The 21,925-nt window shown below is 43.9% G+C and overlaps 1 long non-coding RNA gene across 1 annotated transcript in view; it reads right to left on the bottom strand.

Moving 5' to 3' along the window:
• The window catches only part of LINC01517 (long intergenic non-protein coding RNA 1517), a 64,570-nt gene that overhangs the window by 19,174 nt on the left and 23,471 nt on the right, over positions 1–21,925 (bottom strand). The gene's annotated exons all lie outside the window — the stretch shown is intronic.

Here is a 21,925-nt window from a genome sequence, read left to right as displayed (position 1 = left end):
AACGATCTCGGTGCTGAATTCAGAGTGATGGTGCAGAGGCTTGTGTGATGCACAGAAAGCATCCCAGTGTTCTTCAATCCCAACAAAACGCTCCTTGTTCCCGCATCTCCCAGAGGCTCCAAGCACACATAGGCTCCTCACTCTCTGCCAATGGGGAAACACTCTGCTCAGTGCTTTATTCATTCCCAGATGCTCTATTTATTCATTTTTCAACAAAAAGTGGCACATTGAATATGTATTCCTGGAAATCACCTGAAATCTATTCATTAGGCTTTTAGCTAATCTCTCATGCACTTCCACATCCCAGGAGCCAACCTCAATAAACCCAAGTCTCCCATCAGTTCCACAATCCAATGCCTTAGGATACAGCAGCCAGACCAGAAAAAGACCTTTAAGCCAAGTCTGCTTGGTTTTAAGAAATCAGCTAGCCCTACACATCACCTTTGACTGTCAGTAAAACAGTCCCCTGTCTATGACACCACCCAAATTACTGCCCTAGTCTAGGGCCTTATGCTTCTGCTTTCTATTTTGCTGAATTCAGAACGGAAGATTTAACCAGCATGAGGCTGATATAATCTTGTGATCTGGGACAGCCCCTGAAAGTAGGCAGGTGTTTGGGCAAAGCTTCAGTACCAAGGAGTTACTAGTTGACAGCCTGAAGCTGAATCATCTCACGACACCCTTGAGACAGTGTGACATTCAGAGTAAAGACCACAGTAAAGACCACAACAGCTCAAGTGCCACATTGCACCCAGCACATTCTATTTTTAAAAGAAAGAGCCAAATTACCATTCTACCCATCAATCCCATTACTAGGTATATAGCCAAAAGAAAATAAATGGTTCTGCCAAAAAGCCACCTGTGCTTGCATGTGTATTGCAGCACTATTCATAATAGCAAAGACATAGAATCAACCCAGTGCCTGTCAATGGTAGACTGGATAAAGAAAATGTGGTACATATACACCGTGGTATGCTACAAAGCCATAAAAGGAAATGAAATCTTGTCCTTTGCAGCAACATGGTTGCAGCTAGAGGCCATTATTATTATTATTATTATTGAGACAGGGTCTCACTTTGTCACCCAGGCTGGAGTGCAGTGGCACAGTGTCAGCTCACTGCAGCCTCAACCTCCTGGGTTCAAGCGATCCTCCCACCTCAGCCCCCCAAGTAGCTGGGACTACAGGCACACACCGCCATGCCCGGCAAATTTTTTGTATTTTTTTATAGAGGATTTCCCCATGTTACCAACACTGGTCTCAAACTCCTGAGCTCAAGCAATCTGCCTGCCTTAGCCTCCCAACGTGCTGGGATTACAGGCGTGAGCCACCAAGACCGGAGGCCATTATCTTAAGCAAACTAATGCAGGAAAAGGAAACCAAATAACACATGTTCTTATAAGTGGGACCTGAACACTGGGTACACATGGACAGAAGGATAGGAACAACAGGCACTGAGGACTCCTACAGGAGGAGGAAGAACGGGAGGCAAAGTGAACTATTGGGCATTGTGCTCAGTACCTGAGTGACGGAATCAATTGTACACCAAACCTCAGCATCACGCAGTCTACCCAGGTAATAAGCCTGTACATGTGCCCCTGAACCTAAAACAAAAGTGGAAATTATTAAAAGCAAAGTATTTGTTTATATATCAAAATTCAAATAAATTTAAAAAATAAAATAAAAGAACTTACATAGAGCTCAATAAATGGAGAAAGAAACTCCCCAGGAAACACATCTAAAAGTGTCCAAAACCAGAACTGCAAACACAGACTATTATTATCCTTGTTTTCATTTTTAAAAGTTCCAGTTAGGAAAGATGATGGTTCTAGTGTTTCAGTGTACTAATAAAATCAGAAATGCCACTAAATACGGTCAATAAAAGATGTGACATCTCAAGGAGAACAGGTCATCTGAAGTCTGGAACATCCACAGGCACAAAGGCGTGTTCGGAAATAAAGTTTGGAGACAAACGAATTATCCAAGGAACGAAAAGAAGAGGGACAATCTAGACTTCATTTTATTAATGCCTTCAGGTAAAAAGCATGCCATTAGGAGTCAGGGATGTAGGTTTCAAGTCTTGCTCTGGAAGTCATTCAATGTATGACTTTGAACAAGTAATTCAAGCCCCCTGTGTTTATTTTTATTTCCACATCTATGAAATGAACTTTAGATTTGATCATCTCTAAAATCCCCGTTCTGCTCAAAATTTATATTGTCCTGAGAAACACTGGATTTTAAGTATAAATCTCAGGAAAATCCCTGTAGCATTTCAAAGACCTGTGAAGCTACAACGCTCAAAGAAACCTTTGTCCTGGTCTTCTGACCTGATCTCCCAGAGCTGCGTCTTACACTCCCTGTTCCAGGAGTTGGCAGTGGCAGAGTGGGCAAAAGCTGGTGTCTCCAACGTGATGGGTAAATGTCCGATGGAGAAAGCAGGGAATCCATAGATAAACACGGGAGGAAATGGCTTGAGAGTCTAATCAGGCTTACAGGTATGAGCACTGCACCTGGCTTTCTTCTTCTAATTTTGAAAGAAATTAAAACATTATTGCAGGTCCCTAAAAACCCCTGGGGCCTTGGGCACTGTGCCTCCTAAAGGAGATGCGGGCTCTGGGCTCTGACTTCTGGTTGTGCGAAGGCTCCATTTGGTGGTTGGTGGGAGGGGAGGGGATGTTGTCTCCTATACATTAAGGAAAGCCTAATCCCAGCAACAGTGAAACTCCTCATCTATACTTTTAGGGAGCACTGAGGGGTGAGACCATAAAACAACACAAACCCAAGTATTGTAACTCATATTCGCATGCTTCAACACATCCTTTGGTGATGCCTAAATAAAATGTACCTGTATGTACGATTACTCCAGTTAGTGACACACGAGCTGATACGCACAGTCGAAGCCCGGTGCTATCATCCAGTCCTGGGTAAGTTCATTAAAGTCTCTGTCTGTTTCCTCATTTGTAAAATGAGATGATGAACATCTGTAATCCAGAGGGCTCTTATGAGGACTAAATGGAGTAATATAAATAAAGAACTTAGCCCCATAGCTGGGATATGGTAAACACCGGGTAAACAAACATTAGCTAAAAATTGTTCAGACCGCCATCATCACTATCATCGCTGCCACCCATGAAGACAACAGAGCAAAATGGTCTAATTTAGAACCAACGTGGATAATCCAAGAGGTCTCTTGCCACATTCACATCATCTCAGATGAAGAGTTCAAGATCCAACTATAATTATCTGACTCTTATGTTTGGATAGATTCATAAGACAATAGGCTGATGATACAAAGAATAACACAATGTATGCAAACAATAAAGAACGTAAAGAAAAACCCAGGCAACAGAGCTACTCTCTAAAGCAGCTATGGGAAAAACAGAAAGTATTCTCTGTGGAAAACACTGCTGAGTATTATTCAAATGGGGGTGATCACGCCCCCAAAACAGAGTTGTCTAAACAAGAACTAGACACAATATCATGTGGGACCTTCACCTCTGCCAAGCACAGCTGAAGAGAAACCACTTATATCCCCAAAACTCAGCAACAAATTTTGATCAAGCAAAATAGCAAAAGAGGAAAGTAGAAAACTGAGTTTGCCGTCATGTATTTGGAGCATTTGAATGCATGCATGTTTATTAGACTGAGAAACGCATTATGAAGGAAGTAATTCAAGAAATTGCAATTAAGTATTTGAGAAGGAAACCAAAGTTAAGAGGGCATGAATTCTACCATGGGAACTGCAAGAAAAACAAACAAACAAAAAAAGGTATTCATGTCCTGGTGGGGAAAAGATAACCCCCGAGGAGATGAAAGAGACTCTTACAGAGAAACGAGACTCACAGATAAGGCAAGGGAGATGGGCCCACGGAGCCAGGTCAGTAAATAGCGTAAGAAATCTAAGTGACAAGAAACATTCAAAGGGATGTACACACATTGCTGGGAGGCAGCCCTTTTCCCACAAGAAGGGAAGATGTAATCAGCATGGGCTAAGGATAAGAAATGACTTCACCCCTACCCAGAATCACTTTTGCTTTGCCTGCCTTTTACACCTGAAAAAGGAGACTGTTCTTGGTGGCGAACAAAAGAAATGGGGTGGAAAGTATAGCAGTTTTCACTCTGGGCAATTAGAATAAAGTTAGCTGGGGCTAAGACCTGGGGCTGGCAGATGCAGTCAAATGCTCTGTGCAGATGCTTATTTGAGAGAGAAAATGAGACTGTTTGTCCCCAAAGATGGGAGAGTCAGCGTATATTAGCATGCAGACTGAGAAGGAGGCAGGACGCCAGGTCTTACCCGGGGGGCTGGCTGCAGAGAAGCTGGGCAGAGTGGGCCCATGGGAAAGGGGAGTCCTGCTTCAAGATCTTGGGGGGCTCAATGGGGTAGAGCCATGCCTGGAAAGAGGGGGCCTCAGCTAATGGTGCCTTTCCACCACTTGTCAGCCCCACCCCAAATGGACAAGAAGAATGTCCCATGGGATTGGGGGGAAGGAGGAGGAGAGAGAGGTAACACCATTATATGTGCAAAGGCGTTCTCATTCTTTGCTGCAACCTCCCTTCAGCCCAGCTATCAAGAAGTTAGGCCACAGCCACTACCACCTGGTCCTGGTCCTCATTATTTTTCCCTGGACTGTTGCAATAACTTCCTTAGAGGTCTTCTTCTACATATGCCTAGCCCCTCGACTCATCCTACACCCCCAGTCTCTCTGCTGCACAGCTGCCACCAGAATGATCTTTCCAAAGCCCAAATCTAATCATGTCTATTTCCCTCTTAAAAATCTCCAGTGGTTTCCCATCACCTGTGGCTGTCAGCAAACTATGACCTATGGGCCAAATCTGGCTGTGAACTAAGAATGGTTTTTACATGTATAAAGGGTTGTAAAAAATTAAATTTAATTACAAAAAATTAGCCAGGCATGGTGGCGGGCGCCTGTAGTCCCAGCTACTCGGGAGGCTGAGGCAGGAGAATGGCGTGAACCCAGGAGGCGGAGCTTGCAGTGAGCTGAGATGGCGCCACTGCACTCCAGCCTGGGCAACAGAGTGAGACTCCGTCTCAAAAAAAAAAAATTTAATTTAATTTAAAAAGAAATATGTGACCAGGCACAGTGACTCACAACTATCATCTCAGCACTTTGGGAGGCTAAAGCAGGAGGATCACTTGAGACCAGGAGTTCAAGGCCAGCCTGAGCAACATAGCAAGACCTCATCTCTATAAAAGAATAAATAAAATTAGCCTGGCAAGGGGGTACGGACCTGTGGTCCCAGCTATTTGGGAGGCTGAGGCAGGAGGATCACTAGAGCCCAGGAGTTCAAGGCTGCAGTGAGCTGTGATCCCACTACTGCACTCCAGCCTGGGCCACAGAAGAGACCCTGTCTCTAAATAAATAAGTAAATAACTGTATGTGACAGAGAAGTAGGTCACCTGCAAAGCTTAAAATGTTTACTATTTGGCCCTCTTTAGAAAGTTTGTCACCCCTATGATTTGGGTAGGGAACAAAAACAAAATCTAAATATAAGAAGATATATGAGACCTTTTGTGATCTGAACCGCCTGCCTCTCAGCTTCCTGTCCTCATCCTTCCTGCTGGAACTTTACCCTCCACAGCTATGGAACCATACATGGCTCCCAAAATATGCCAGGCATTCTCATTTCTCCTGCTGTCCTCTTCCTTTATCCTGGAATGCCAGGCTCCTCACAAACGTGAACTCTTTAGTCAAGCTTCAGCTCACAGACTGCATACTGCGTGAGTCTTGTCATTTATTTACTTAAGAGTCTGGCCTCTCGAGCCAGGACACTGCATCCACCCGTCTCAATGGCAAGTGTCACTTGGTCTGCAAATGCCAGCTCAACTGGAAACTTCCTAGGAGCAGGCTGCAGCATCTTATCCTCCCTGTAGCCCAGCATGTGGCCTGAAACATTGTCAACGTGCAACAATAAATAAAGCAATCATTACCAAACTACAAAGAAATAATTATTTAATAATAAGTAAACATATATTGCATTTGTTGCCAAAGGTGACTTCTGTATTAATCATCTGTATCAGTCTCTAAGTCTCTGTATCATCTGTGCATCTGTAACAATCATCCATATCAATCTGTAACAATCATCTATATCAATCTCTTTAGGTCTCAGTTTGCTCATCTTTAGGACAAATTTTAACCCAGTGATTTTTAAGCCCTGAAGGTATATTATTCTATGAGAAGCAGAGTTTAAGATGGAATGCTAGCAGAAAATTTCTTGCCTATATCTCCTCAAAGAATTTCAAGAAGCAGTACTGTCTCAGAGCTCAGGAGATAGTTGTCTTTGATTTCCGGTGAGTCTTTGCCAAGAGCTTTTTTTGAGAGCCTAAGCTAGGGAGCAGGGATAAGTTAGCAGAATCTCCTACAGAGGCCTGGCTGTGAAGGGCAAGCCAATGTTCAACTGGCCTGGTGCTGAAAAGCTAATCTGGGGATGAGCATTAAACCTGGTTTCTCTCTTGTCATTTGCATTCTCTCTTTTTCACACCATAGGCAAGAGTCTGCCAATCAAAACTCTTGTGAAGGTTTGGTAAGAAGGAAGCTGGTAGCATGGCTTAGCTTTTTTTATGGTAGATATTTATTCTATTTTAAAAGGAAAAAGGCCAGGAGCAGCAGGTCACACCTGTAAACCGAGTGCTCTGGAAAGCTGAGAAGGGAGGATGGCTTGAGGCCAGAAGTTTGAGACCAGCTGGAACAACATAGCAAGACCCTGTTTCCAGGAAAAAAAAAATTAAAAAATTTGTCAGGTGTGGTGGAATGCACCTGTAGTCCCAGCTACTCAGGAGGCTGAGGCAGAAGGATCACTTGAGCCCGGAAGTTGGAAGCTGCAATGAGCTATGATCGTGCCACTGCATTCCAGCCTGTGTGACAGAACCAGACCCTGTCTCAAAAACATAAAAAATAAATGACATAAAAGTAAAAACCAACATATAAATTCTTTTCCCATTCATAAACCCAGTCCACCTCAGAATCACTGTTTTTGGTGTTTTGTTTTGTTTTGTTTGAGATGGGGTCTCATTCTATCACCCAGGCTGGAGTGCAGTGGCGCAATCTTAGCTCACTGCAACCTCCACCTCCTGGGCTCAAGCGGGTCTCATTCCTCAACCTCCCGAGTAGCTGGGATTACAGATGCACACGATCACTCCTGGCTAATTTTTTTTTTTTTTTTTTTTTTTGGTAGAGACAGGGTTTTGCCATGTTTCCCAGGCTGGTCTTGAACTCCTGGGCTCAGGAGATCCACCTGCCTCGTCTCCCAAAATGCTGGGATTACAGGCATGAGCCACCAGGCTTGACCAAAATCACTGTTACCGAGTTCCTGTGTCTCTTTCCAGAGATATTTTATGCATATAAGAACATATATTAGATATCTATCCTCCCCCCTGCCTTTTTTACACGAATGGTAGCATTCTATTCATGCTGTAATGTATTATGCTAGTGTAAAAGTAATTGCGATTTTCGCCATTGAAAGTAATGGCAAAATTGTGGTTTTCTCCATTGAAAGTAATGGCAAAACCGCAATTACTTTTGCACCAACCTCATACCTTGCTGTGTTTGCCTAAAACTATATTCTAGAGTGATACACTGAAGGGTGGCCCCCTAAAGGTGTTCACATCCTAATTCCTGGATCCTATAAATCTTACATGGGAAGAGGGACTTTGCAGTTGTGATTGAGTGAAGGATCATGAGAAGGAGAGGTTATCCCGGATTATCTAGTGGCCCAATGTAATCACAAGGGTCCTTACAAAAGGAAGGTGGAGAATGAGATATGATGATGGAAGCAGAAGTCAGAGAACAAATCTTTGCTGCTGGCTTTGAAGACAGAGGAAGGAACTATGAGGAGGCAGCCTTTAGAAGCAAGAAAAGACTAAGAAATGGATGTTTCCCTGTGATGGTTAATACTGAGTGTCAACTTGATTGGACTGAAGGATGCAAAGTATTGTTCCTGGGTGTGTCTGTGAGAGTGTTGTCAAAGGAGATTAACGTTTGAGTCAATGGACTGGGAGAGGCAGACCCACCCTCAATCTGGGTGGGCACCATGTAATCAGCTGCCAGCTCAGCCAGAATAAAAGCAGACAGAAGAACGTGGAAAGACTAGACTGATTTAGTCTTCTGGCCTACATCTTTGTCCCATGCTGGATGCTTTTTAGAAAGCATTTCTGGGTTTGATACTTATAGAGGTGACTTTGAAGTCTAAAAAAATAAGTCAACTAATTCACTTCTTGCATGATGATTACAAAACTAAAGTTTGGGGAGGTCAAGTGATTCATTGAAGGTAATATACTTATTTAAGAATAGAAATGATATCGTATACAGATACAGAGTTTCCTCGTAACCACCACAGGTTTGACCTGCAAGAGTCCTCTTATATGAGGATTTTCTTCCACCTCCACCACCCCTGAGACAACAAAACCAATCCCTCCTCTTCCTCCTCAGCCTACTCATCATGAAGTTGATAACGATAAAGACCTTTATGATCATCCACCTCCATTTAATGAATACTAAACATATATTCTCTTCCTCATGATTTTCTCAATACTATTTTCTTATCTCTAGCTTACTTTATTATACAAATACAGTATAGAATACATATAACATACAAAATATGTGTTAATTGACCATCTGTGTTACTGGTTAAGGCTTCCAGCCAACAGGAGGCTATTAGTCATTAAGTTTTGGGGCAGTCAAAAGTTACATGTGCCAGGTGCAGTGGCTCACGCCTGTAATCCCAGCACTTTGGGAGGCTAAGGCTGGTGGATCACCTGAGGTCAGGAGTTTGAGACCAGCCTGGCAAACATGGCGAAACCCCGTATCTACTAAAAATACAAAAATTAGCCGGGCGTGGTGGCAGGCACCTGTAATCCCAGCTACACGGGAGGCTGAGGCGGGAAAATCGCTTGAACATGGGAGGCGGAGGTTGCAGTGAGCCGAGGTGGCACCACTGCATTCCAGCCTGGGCAACAAAAGTGAGCCTCCATCTCAAAAAAAAAAAAAAGTTACATGTAGGCCGAGTGCAGTGGCTCACACCTGTAATCCCAGCACTTTGGGAGGCCAAGGTGGGAAAATCGCTTTAGGTCAGGAGTTCAACACCAGCCTGGCCAACATGGTGAAACCCCGTCTCTACTAAAAGTACAGAAGTTTGGCGGGCATGGTGGCTCAAGCCTGAAATCCCAGCTACTCAGGAGGCTGAGGCACAAGAACCGCGAATTCCTTGAACCCAGGAGGCAGAGGTTGCAGTGAGCCAAGATCACACCACTGCACTCCAGCCTGGGTGCCAGAGCAAGACTTGGTCTCAAAAAAAAAAAAGTTATATGCAGATTTTCATGTGCACAGGAGTTTAGCACCCCTAGTCCCTGCATTGTTTAACGATCAACTGTGTGTGTGTATGTATGTGTATATATATACACACATACATATATATACTTATACGTATATATGCATATATACACTATGTATATGTGTATATATACATACATATGTTTGTCTTCTTTTTACTTCAATCGTATATGTGTGTGTGTGTGTGTGTGTGTGTGTATGTATATATATGCTCAAATGATTCCTAAGCCATACCAGGCTGCCTTTCAGGAGGAGCTATGGATGAGTTTTCTCTAATATGCCTATTGGTAAAACTTTACTAAGGTATTAGGTCTCTCTCTCTGAGGATCTTAATTTAAATGAAACATGAACGATTTAAATGAGTGACGCTTTTTGATAAACTCATGAAATATCGACATCCCTGGTTATCCATTCTGTTGGTGGAGATGTCAGTGAGAATAACTAAGAGCAAATGTTTCAAAGGACAGGCAATCACTTTGGTTGGACATGAGGGAAGATGGCCAATCTCAGGCTCAGGGAGGAACCATGCAGACCTAGCTAGAAACAGGTGGGGCTCACCTGCAGTCATTGCTTGTGAAAATTACGTACAATTAAGAAGTTGACACTGAAGTGCTTTTGTGGTTTTTATTCTAATCACCCCAGTCCTCCATCTACAAAAATGTCTAAAATCAAAGTTAATTTGCACAGCACAGAGAAGACAAAATGAACCCAAACTTTACAGTATTATTTTATGAAGACCACTCCAAGAAACAAGGTCTCCAGTAATCCTGTCTGGCTGTTAAGGCAATTAACTAGGAGTGGGGTGCTGGGGAGGCAGGCTGAAAACCAGATTATCTCCAAGGGAGAACGAGAAGTCACAGACATTTTTCATAAATCTTCTCTTCTGGCAATTTAAAAACCAGAAAGAGATAAATGAGTGACAGATCCAACCATGCCTGTCTTTGCCATGACTAATCCATGGCTACCATCCCTCTAATCAGCAGGAAGTAGTCTCCTTTTTCTTTTAATGAGGTCACAATCATTAGTCACTCCAGTATTATCATCTGATGTCATTATGATTCTGTTTCAGGCAGAGATTGGGTGTGGCAGGGTCTCACTTTGCATCAAATATACAACCACCAGTGCTTTTCGGGGTGAACATGCTTGAACTCAACTCCAAATTTCAGCTTTCAGATGGGCAGGAGCCCCTCCATCCCATGGTACAGGAAACAGTTTTCTTCATTGTGCACCCAGTCACAAGGAGGTAGATGGATCCATCATCATGTTCTCACTGGGCGCAGTGGGACACTCCTTTAGTCCTAGCTACTTGGAAGCCTGAAGCAGGAGGATGGCTTGAGCCTAAGAGTTCGAGGCTGCAGTGAGCCGTGATCATGCCACTGTACTCCAGCCTTGGTAACAGAGTGAGACCCTGTCTCAAAAAAAAAAAACAAAAAAAACAAAGACTGCTCTTCTCACTTGTTCCCTGCTGACCCTCAGGAAAAACTCCTGTTTAACCACAGTCTAAGTGATGAATACCTGCCCTCCCCAAGATCCAGGACCCGAAGCCAAGTTTCCCTGCACATCTCACTCCCTGGCCACAAATGTGGTCTGTCTCAGCCTTGTTGCCTTGAGAGGAAAAGATGAGGAAAATTCCTGTTCTGTCCAGCTCATCCCCTCTGATGACTTCAAGGTCAGAAGGTTTTCCATCCTGCATACAGAGTGCATTGAATCTGTTGACCGAGTTGTCAAAGTTAGCAGGGTTTTTTTTTGAGCAGTCTCCCCATCAGTCACAATTATTGAACTTCACTTTAGCATTTTCAGTGCCATTTGCAAAATCAAAAGCATTACAACATGCATACTTGAAAAACAGAGTTTGCTCTTCAAAGAGTTACTTGCCTGCATTGTTTTCAACAGTGACTTATTCCTCAACTTCTAGTTAAATTTAACTCATGCTGTGTTAATTTCATCTTCATACCTTTTTTTTTTTTTTAAAGAGTCTTACTTTGTCACCCAGGCTGGAGGTGCAGTGACATGATCACAGTTCACTGCAGCCTTGACCTCTCGTGCTCAAGTGATCCTCCCACCTCAGTCTCTGGAGTAGCTAAGACTACAGGTATGCACCACCACACCTGGCTAATTTTTGTATTTTTTGTACAGACAGGGTTTTACTGTGTGGCTCAGGCTGCTCTCCAACTCCTGGGTTCAATGGATCCTTCCATCTTGGCCTCCCAAAGTGTTAGGATTACTCCCAAAGTGAGCCACTGTGACTGGCCTCATCCTCATACCTTTTTAAAGCATGTTTTCTACTATGTGAGGGTAGCAGGAAAGTGGGGGGCACTTTCCATCCATTCCCAAGCAATCCCACCTGATCGTCAAGTGATCCTTGAATCTTCTAGACTATTTGTGAATAATCTAATACAAATTTCCTATTCAGTGTAACTACACCCTGCCTGGCATTTCATGTCACTATTTCATGAAGGGCTGTTATCTGAAATTAGATTATACATTTCTTGAGAACAAAATATTCATTTTTCACCTCTTTCACATGCACGTGTCCCTGCTCATCCATAACTGCCTCCTATCAATTATCATGTTCCCTCTGTGCTGAGGGATAACAGCACAAAGTGAAAATGTGCTGAATTCAACTGATAGGCCGAGGCCTTGAAAAAGAGAGGCAAACCCAGATGTCATCTGTGAAAATTTCCACATTCCTTTTTAAACTTGAAATTACTCCAAATGAGAGCAATAAACATAAAAGTGCTCCTATAACCCTCTCTTTGCATCCGTTTCAATTTGTACTTCATTTCTAGGAACATTTTTTTTTTTTTCAACAGAGTTGTCCAGGCTGGAGTGGAGTGGCATGATCGAGGCTCATTGCAGCCTGAACCCTCCCTGGGCTCAGGTGATCCTCCCACCTCAGCCTCTGGAGTAGCTGGGACTTCAGGTGCAGGCCACCACACCCAGCTAATGTTTGTACTTTTTGTAGAGATTGGCCACATCACCCAGGCTTGTCTTGAACTCCTGGGCTCAAGTGATCCACCCGCCTGGCCTCCAAAAGTGCTGCTATTATAGGCATGAGCCACTGCACCAGGTGAGAAACATGATTTAAAGCTAGCTAGCTAGTTATTTTTCTCTGCTGGTCCAGTATTAAAGGAGATTTTCATGCAAGAATGAGATCTAGAAGAAATGATTAGAATCTTATTTTCCCGCAGCTGACATTCTATCCCGGCCTCTCAGACCTGATCAGCCATTAGAAAAGTATGGTTTCATCATAATTACAGCAAACACTCATTGACTTCTTGGTATGTGCTAGACACTGTATTAAGTGTATTAATTGCATACCTTATCTCGTCTAATCTTCACAATAATTGAAAAAGACAGGAACTACAATAACTCTCATGTCATAGGTTGAACAAACCACAGGGCATAAAAATTGAGTAACTTGCCCAAGCTCATACAGCCTGTAGTGGGTAAAGCCAAAATTCAAATCAGCTTTGTTTACCTCTTGCTACTCAAAGTGTGGTCCCTAGACCAGCAGCATTGGCACCACCTGGGGACTTGTTAAAAATGCAAAATCCCCAGTCCCACCCCAGATTTACTGAATCAGAATCCTTGAAATTGGGGCCCGGCAATCTGTAGTTTAAAAAGGTCTTCAGAGGCTGGGCACAGTGTCTGATGCCTGTAATTACAACACTTCGGGAGGCTGAGGCAGGTGGATTGCTTGAGGCCAGGAGTTTGAGACCAGCCTGGGCAACATAGCAAGACCCCATCTTAAATGGTTTGGCTCTGTGTTGCCACCCAAATCTCATGTCAAATTGTAATCCCCAGTGTTGGAGGTGGGACCTCGTGGGAGGTGTTTGGATCATGGGAGTAGGGTTCTCATGAATGCTATAGCACCATCCCCTCTGTGCCCTTCTCATGACAGTGAGTGAGTTATCCTGGGATCTGGTTGTTTAAAAGTGTGCAGCACCTGCCTCTCTCTCTTCCTCCTGCTCCAGCCTTGTAAGATGTGCTTGCTTCCCTTCGCCTTCTGTCATGATCATAAGTTTCCTGAGGCCTCCCCAGCCATGCTTGCTACAGAGCCTGTGCAGCTGTGAACCAGTTAAACCTCTTTTCTTTATAAACTACCCAGTCTTCAGTATTTCTTTATAACAGTGAAATAACAACTAATACACCATCTCTATAAAAAATAGAAATAAAAAAATTAGCCAGGCCTGGTGGCTGGGAGGTCAAGGGTGCAGTAAGCCGTGATCATGCTACTGCACTCCAGCCTGGGTGACAAAGCGAGACCCTGTCTCAAAGAAAAAGTTCATGTTTTAATTATCAGGAGCTCTTCTTGTTCTCTGACTGTTCTTGGGTCACAACAACTTGTTCTTATTTTAGGAATGTAATGTCATCCATATCATCCTAAATTGTTCCGAGAACACTAAAAAAAGGGGTTTTTTTTTTTTTTAGTTATTTTTAGTTCCCTGAGTTATATCTATTTTCTTCAGAATCTGTTGTTCTGTTTGTTCATATTAATCCTTCCCTTTTCTGAAATTGGCATAATCAAATATCTAGTGTTATATCTGTATCAGTCCATTCTCACACTGCTATAAAGAGCTACCTGAGACTGGGTAATTTATGAAGAAAAGAGGTTTGACTCACAGTTCTGCGGTCTGTACAGGAAGCATGACTGGGAGGCCTCAGGAAACTTACAGTCGTGGCAGACGGCAAAGGGGAAGCCAGCACCTTCTTCACACACAGCAGAAGAGAGACAGCGTGAAGGGGAAAGTGCCACACACTTTTAAAACCACCAGATCTCATGAGAACTCATTAACTATCACAAGAACAGCAAGGGGGAAATCTGCCTCCATGATCCAGTCACCTCCCACCAGGTCCCTCCCCTATAATCCCCAGGGATTACAATTCAACATGAGATTTGGGAGAGCCAAACAGAGCCAAACCATGTCAATACCTATGGCTCAAGGACAAAGCTGATTAGCACAGATAGCATGGGTTTCTCGGGACTCTTTCTTAAGTGAGGGAGTTCTGTGCATACACTGGGTAAGTGAGTGGGAGTGCTGTCAGGCAGCCTTCCCTATTGTATAGACCAGGCAACCTAGAGATCCCCAAGATTGTTAGGGAATAAAGAACTTTGGTGTAGTTCACACCTGAGCAAAGCTGTCTTACTTAGCCTTTGTTCCTCAGGCCCAGGGTTACCTCCAGCTTTTTTCTTTAGGCCCAGCACCTATATCCCCTTACTCTAAAGGGTTAGGGTTCTTTAGAGATGATTTGGTTTTATCCACTTGCCATAATTTGCCCATGTTTGCTTTGAAATTGCACGGTGGACTAGAGAAGAAAGAGAGGAGAAGGAAAAGCTCTAGTTGAAGAAGGGGGTTCCAAAGTCCTGAATTCAGAACTTTAAATAAACACTCTGATGGGTGCCCTCTGACCCATCCCTGTCCTTTGTGTTGGATGACTCTGAGCTTGGAGCTTCTCCAGCCCTCTCTTATCTCTAGAATCTCCTCCTCTGTTTTTACTTTTGTTTGCTTTTCATATTTGTCCATCTGCTTTCTTTCTACCAGCATGTATTTCACGCTCTGTGATTCCTTTATTGATGTCCAGCACTGTGGTTTCATTGGATAGATTAATAGACAGACAGACAACAGATGGGTAATAGTTTCAGTCATTTCAGTGGGACCTTGAGAAAGCATGAAGGTTGATAAGTATGCTCACTCTCTCTTCTTGAACAAGAAGATACTCAGCAAAGATTTCAGCATATAGAATTTTTTGTTTTAGAAGTCATATTTACCTTTTCCTCCTCCCACCCTATCAAATTATATCTTCAGAAAATTATCAGATAAATACATATCTAATAAATACATCACCTAGTAAATACTTACTTTATTTTATTTTATTTATTAATATTTATTTATTTTGAGATAGGATCTCACTCTGTCACCCAGGCTGGGGTGCAGTGGCATGATCCTAGCTCACTGCAGCCTCTAACTCCTAGGTTCAAATAATCGTCCCACCTCATCCTCCTGAGTAGCACTACAGGCACACACCACCATGCCTGGTGTATTTGTCTGTTCTCACACTGCTAATAAAGACATGCCTGAGACTGGGTAATTTATAATGAAGAAGAGGTTTAATGGGCTCACAGTTCCATGCGGCTGGGGAGGTCTCATAGTCATGGCAGAAGGCAAAGGAGGAGCAAAGTCACGTCTTACATAGCGGCAGGCAAGACAGGGAGCATGTGTAGGGGAACTCCCCTTTATAAAACCATCAGATCTCGTGAGACCTATTCACTATCATGAAAGCAACCTGGGAAAGACCTGCCCCCATGATTCAATTACCTCCCACCAGGTCCCTCCCATGACACATGGAAATTATGGTAGCTACAATTCAAGATTTGGGTCGGGGCACAGTCAAACCATATCACCTGGGTAATATTTAAAAATTTTTTTAGAAACAAGGGTCTCACTATGTTGACCAGGCTGGTCTTGAACTTCTGGCCTCAAGTGTTCCTCCTATCTCAGCCTCCCAAATTGCTGGGATTACAGACATAAGCCACCATGCCTGGCCTTAGCACTTCTTTAAGTATATACACACAGACACACATGAACATAATGGGAAATGTTAGAAGCCAAATTGTAGTAGAAACAAAAGCCTAGCTTAAAAAAAATTACCATTTGAGAATTTCAGGTATCATGAAAGTACAAACATTCAAATATTTTGTGGACATTTTCCTTTTATGGGGAATTTAATTGCATGAGGTCAATTAAGGTTGAATCTGAACATCTCTGAACCCTAATACGTCTACCAATCAGATGAACTAATAACTTTCTGGTGATATTTGGTGGCCAGCTGAGAAAGCAATGTGGTATTTTAAGAAAGGCGATAGACCAAACCAAACTAACCACATCAAGGTAATTCTATACATCTCATTTTTCAAAATGTCTATGACTGCAGGAACCTTTGAAAGTTTATAGAAAGGAAGTATTGATAAATCTATGTGTATTTCAAAGAAACTTTTTTTTAATTTTAATTTTTATTTATTTATTTTTTTTATATAGTATTTATTGATCATTCCTGGGTGTTTCTCGGAGAGGGGGATTTGGCAGGGTCATAGGACAATAGTGGAGGGAAGGTCAGCAGATAAACATGTGAACAAGGGTCTCTGGTTTTCCTAGGCAGAGGACCCTGCGGCCTTCCGCAGTGTTTGCGTCCCTGGGTACTTGAGATTAGGGAGTGGTGATGACTCTTGACGAGCATGCTGCCTTCAAGCATCTGTTTAACAAAGCACATCTTGCACCGCCCTTAATCCATTTAACCCTGAGTGGACACAGCACATGTTTCAGAGAGCACGGGGTTGGGGGTAAGGTTATAGATTAACAGCATCCCAAGGCAGAAGAATTTTCTTAGTACAGAACAAAATGGAGTCTCCCATGTCTACTTCTTTCCACACAGACACAGTAACAATCTGATCTCTCTTTTCCCCACATTTCCCCCTTTTCTATTCGACAAAACCGCCATCGTCATCATGGCCCGTTCTCAATGAGCTGTTGGGTACACCTCCCAGACGGGGTGGCAGCCGGGCAGAGGGGCTCTTCACTTCCCAGACGGGGCGGCCGGGCAGAGGCGCCCCTCACCTCCCAGATGGGGCAGCTGGCCGGGCGGGGGCTGCCCCCCACCTCCCTCCCAGACGGGGCGGCTGCTGGGCGGAGACGCTCCTCACTTCCCAGACTGGGCGGCTGCAGGGCAGAGGGGCTCCTCACTTCCCAGACGGGGCAGCTGCCGGGCGGAGGGGCTCCTCACTTCTCAGACGGGGTGGCCGGGCAGAGACGCTCCTCACCTCCCAGACGGGGTGGCGGTCGGGCAGAGACACTCCTCAGTTCCCAGACGGGGTCGCGGCCAGACAGAGGTGCTCCTCATATCCCAGACGGGGCGGCGGGGCGGCGGGGCAGCGGCGCTCCCCACATCTCAGACGATGGGCGGCAGGGCAGAGACGCTCCTCACTTCCTAGATGGGATGGCGGCCGGGAAGAGGTGCTCCTCACTTCCCCGACTGGGCTGCCAGGCAGAGGGGCTCCTCACATCTCAGATGATGGACGGCCAGGCAGAGACGCTCCTCACTTCCCAGACGGGGTGGCGGCTGGGCAGAGGCTGCAATCTCAGCACTTTGGGAGGCCAAGGCAGGCAGCTGGGAGGTGGAGGTTGTAGCGAGCCGAGATCACGCCACTGCACTCCAGCCCCGGCAAGACTGAGCACTGAGTGAGCGAGACTCCGTCTGCACTCCCGGCACCTCGGGAGGCCGAAGCGGGCAGATCACTCGCGGTCGGGAGCTGGAGACCAGCTCGGCCAACACGGCGAAACCCGTCTCTGCCAAAAAATACGAAAACCAGTCAGGCGTGGCGGAACGCGCCTGCAATCCCAGGCACTCGGGAGGCTGAGGCAGGAGAATCAGGCAGGGAGGTTGCAGTGAGCCGAGATGGCGGCAGTACAGTCCAGCCTCTGCTCAGCATCAGAGGGAGACCGTGGAAAGGGGAGACGAGGAAGAGACCGTGGAAAGGGGAGACGAGGGACAGGGAGACCGTGGAAAGAGGAGACGAGGGAGAGGGAGAGGGAGAGCAGAAACTTCTAAATCAAATATTTTGCCTCGTCATAAATAATACTTTGTCCAGATGTAAAAAAGAAAAAAAAAAAAACCAGAACGGGAACACATAGTTAAAATTGGAAAAGACAAAGGTGGGTAACACATGTAAACAAACAATCTAGGGTAATGACTAAAAGAAACATCATGTTTAGATTTTCAACTCTCACTATTATTATAAACATTTAAGACCGGGCGTGGTGGCTTATGCCTGTAATCCTAGCATTTTGGGAGGCCGAGGCGGGTGGATCACCTGAGGTCAGGAGTTTAAGACCAGCCTGGCCAACATGGTGAAACCCCATCTCTACTAAAAATACAAAAATTATCTGGGTCTGGTGGTGGGCACCTGTAATCCCAGCTACTCGGGAGGCTGAGGCAGGAGAATCGCTTGAATGCAGGAGGCGGAGGTTGCGGTGAACCAAGATCACACCATTGCACTCCAGCCTGGGCAACAAGAGTGAAACTCCATCTCAAAAAAAAAAAAAAAAAAAAAAATTTAAAAAACAGATAGGCTAACACTAATCAGTTGAATTTCTATAAAGTCATTCTTTACTCAAAATATCCAATTCATTTTATCATAACAGATGTGTATTAGAATGCATGAGTATACATTATTATAAATGGCAATTGTAGAATGATTATGGTATAGGAATCTTTTTAAAAGCTGACATTTGGGCTGGGCATGGTAGCTTACACCTGTCATCCCAGTGCTTTGGAAGGCAGAGGCAGGAGGATTGCTTGAGGCCAGGAGTTCAACACCAGCCTGGGCAACATAGCAAGACCTCCATATCTACAAAATTTTTTAAATTAGCCAGGTGCCATGGTATGTGCCTGTAGTTCCAGCTACTCAAGAGGCTGAGGCAAGAGGATCACTTGAGCCCAGGAGTTGAATACTACAGTGAACTATGGTCTTACCACTGCACTCCAGCCTGAGAGAGCGAGACTCTGTCTTTAAGAAAATAAAAATAAGGCTGGGCATGGTGGCTTACACCTGTAATCCCAGCACTCTGGGAGGCTGAGGTGGGCGGATCATGAGGTCAGGAGATTGAGACCATCCTGGCTAACACACGGTGAAACTCCGTCCCTACTAAAAATACAAAAAAATTAGCCAGGCGTGGTGGCGGGCGCCTGTAGTCCCAGCTTCTCAGGAGGCTGAGGCAGGCAGGAGAATCGCTTGAACCCGGGAGGTAGAGTTTTCAGTGAGCCGAGATCGCACCACTGCACTGCAGCCTGGGCGACAGAGCGAGACTCCATCTCAAAAATAAATAAATAAAATAAAATAAAATAAAATAAAAGTTGGCATTTGGTGCTCTTCGCTTTGCAAATAAGTAGACATAAAAAAATTTCTCAGTTCCCAAAGTTAGCTTGTACTCCAAATCCTTTTGACTTTGAAGCTGCTTGTCTCTCTTTTTCAAGCATGTGTGTGTACATGTGTGCATGTGTTTATATATATAGGTGCACACGCGTGTACACACATAGCCCTTGCTTTTCATCTCAACGGTTGGATGGATGAGGCCTATGGCCAGATTCAGCCATGCCCTACAGTTATCAAGCATGACAGAGCTGGAAGAAAAACATCTGGTCCAAGGTTGCTGTTTGCCTTTGTAGCAGAGAATTTTCTTTGATCTCCAGCTGGAGTTCTCTATTGAGTCTAGCAGATCAATTAGTTAATAGGCCATTCCCACTAGTAGCTCTACCAGCTGACTACCTAGGATAGAAATAAGTTCTATTTATCAATCCTTCCCTTCCCCTTCTACTTTAGGCACATCCTTTTTCCTCTTGAAATAACATAATTATTAAACCACTTCAGTCACTTCTGTGGTTAATGATTCCCTCCTTTTTCGGTTCCGCTCTCCTGCTGAAACCTCTTGGTGGGTTTTAAACACACCACTCCATGGCGATAGTTTCATTTTCTACTACAATTAAGGTTAGGAACAGCTTGCAGTACCAATATAAAAACCAACAGCTTGTCCAGGTTTTACTAGTTCCCTTGGGGAACTGAAACAATAATTTTTGTATCTATGTTTCCAAAAATTCAGAAGAGTAATATAACAATTACATTTTCACCTGGATTTCATTTTAGGAAGCTTGGTTCATTTTCCTTATATTATAAAGATCAGTTCCAGGAATTTAAACAAACATAAGAATTTTTTATCCCGTTTACAATGATGTTGCTATCAGTGCTATTTAGAAAAGAATAATTATATGTCAGGGAATCAAACTGTCTTATTTTGGGACTGGCACGTAGAATTCCAATTAGTTTTAATAATTTTAGTGGGGTCAAGACATTTTGTCTGAACTCAATGTTTCACCTGAACACAAAACCATTATTTTGTACTATATTTACCTATCAAAAAAGTGCTCTAAATTAGTTCTTTTTGGAAAAAAAAAAACAGGATTAGCTAAATGACTGGCTGTTTTAGACACTCCAGTTAGACCAGCTATGTACAGAGGACAGTCAACTTAATTCTCCCGTGAGGTGGTGTTTGATGCCCTGTTCAATGCGTTTTACAGCAAGAGACGCTAGTCCGGTTTCTATGCTGGGACCGAGACAAACTGTGCAGTACCAACACTAGCTCTGCCCGAAGTACTCCCCCCTGGAAATGAAACAGGGCAGCTGTCTTCCAGCACGCAGGGCATCCCAGGCTGTTACAAGTACTTCATCCACATAAAATTGCAAAGGGAATTTTAGAAGTCAGAATGTAATTATCCCCTTTGGAGTTTGGCAATGGAACAGGAGGATTAAACAGAGCTGTCCTTTGTCCCCGAAATAAAAGATGCCAGCGGCTCCACAATAGACACAACCAAGGCATGAGGAAGGAGCCTGGAGTCTTGTTTGTTTTGGTGTCCGCTTTCTCACCTCCGTAGATCACCAATTCCGTGTTCTCAAAAATCAGAGCAGGCCTCAAGGTGACCCCTTTTATGGCATCTTACTCCCATTTTCAATGCTGTTTAGAAGAAGCTAGATGTAAATATTCAATAAAGTCCCTGTGAGCTACTGCCCTTGTGGCTCAGTAAAAATGAAAAGCTACTTAAAATACAAGTCTCCAAGCTTTGTCTTGCAGAGAGCTAGAACAACCCCAGGATACCCTGGGCTTTGATGTAGAACCTTCCAAAGACCACATTAGATGGTAACTACCAGTATAACTATTCTCAAAAACTCCAGAGTGACTTATATCTCATTTCCATAAACTTTATAATAAAACACTTGTAATTAGGCTGGTAGGAAATGAACTGCTGAGTATAAGGCTTGAGAGTTTCACCACTAGGTACCTTCGGAGAATCACTGAAAGTAAGTTAGCTGCTTGATTTATGCCACGTATATCCACAAGAACAGCAAAGCCAGGACAAAGTGGAAGTTGCTGTACAGCCTTACGATCTACGCGTTCTCTCATTCCTTTGTTCAAAGCATCCTTGACATGACTCTCCTTTCCACTTTCTACTTCCTATTGGCCCTTCTGAGAAGGTCACTATCCTAAATGACTTATCCCGGGATCTGACACTCACTCCTTCTAACATCTTTTGACAGGATCCAAGTAGCACCCCAGCAATACATTCCTAAGGCCCAATGGCCCTGACTCAAGCCAGGCTGATGAAAGCTAAGATGCAGCATTCTAGAAACCCTGAGCTCAACTCTAGCCAATGCTGACATCCTGACTTTCAAACCCATCCGTTTCCAAAAGGAAAAAACTTTTCAAGCTTTCCAATCATGATAAGTTCTGAGCCACCTAATACTGATGTTTTGTAGTTGATTGGGTGAAATAGAAGTCAAACCTAGTCTCAAGCTCTCCAAGGTGACATACTTTCCTCTAGTTCTTGCTCTAGATGACAAATATCTTCTTGAGGGTAGAACCAGTGAACCTCTCTTTCCCAAGAGCCACACTTCATCAAGCAGCCCAGGTCAAATTTTACAATGTGCAAACTAGCTAGAGAATAGACATTACCTAGAAGTCAGCACACTTCC

This window comes from Homo sapiens, chromosome 10 (assembly GCF_000001405.40).
Source record: "Homo sapiens chromosome 10, GRCh38.p14 Primary Assembly".
NCBI classification, from domain to species: Eukaryota; Metazoa; Chordata; class Mammalia; order Primates; family Hominidae; genus Homo; species Homo sapiens.
The sequence above is the reverse complement of the archived record's forward strand: the minus strand, read 5'-3'. Positions and strand labels throughout refer to the sequence as shown.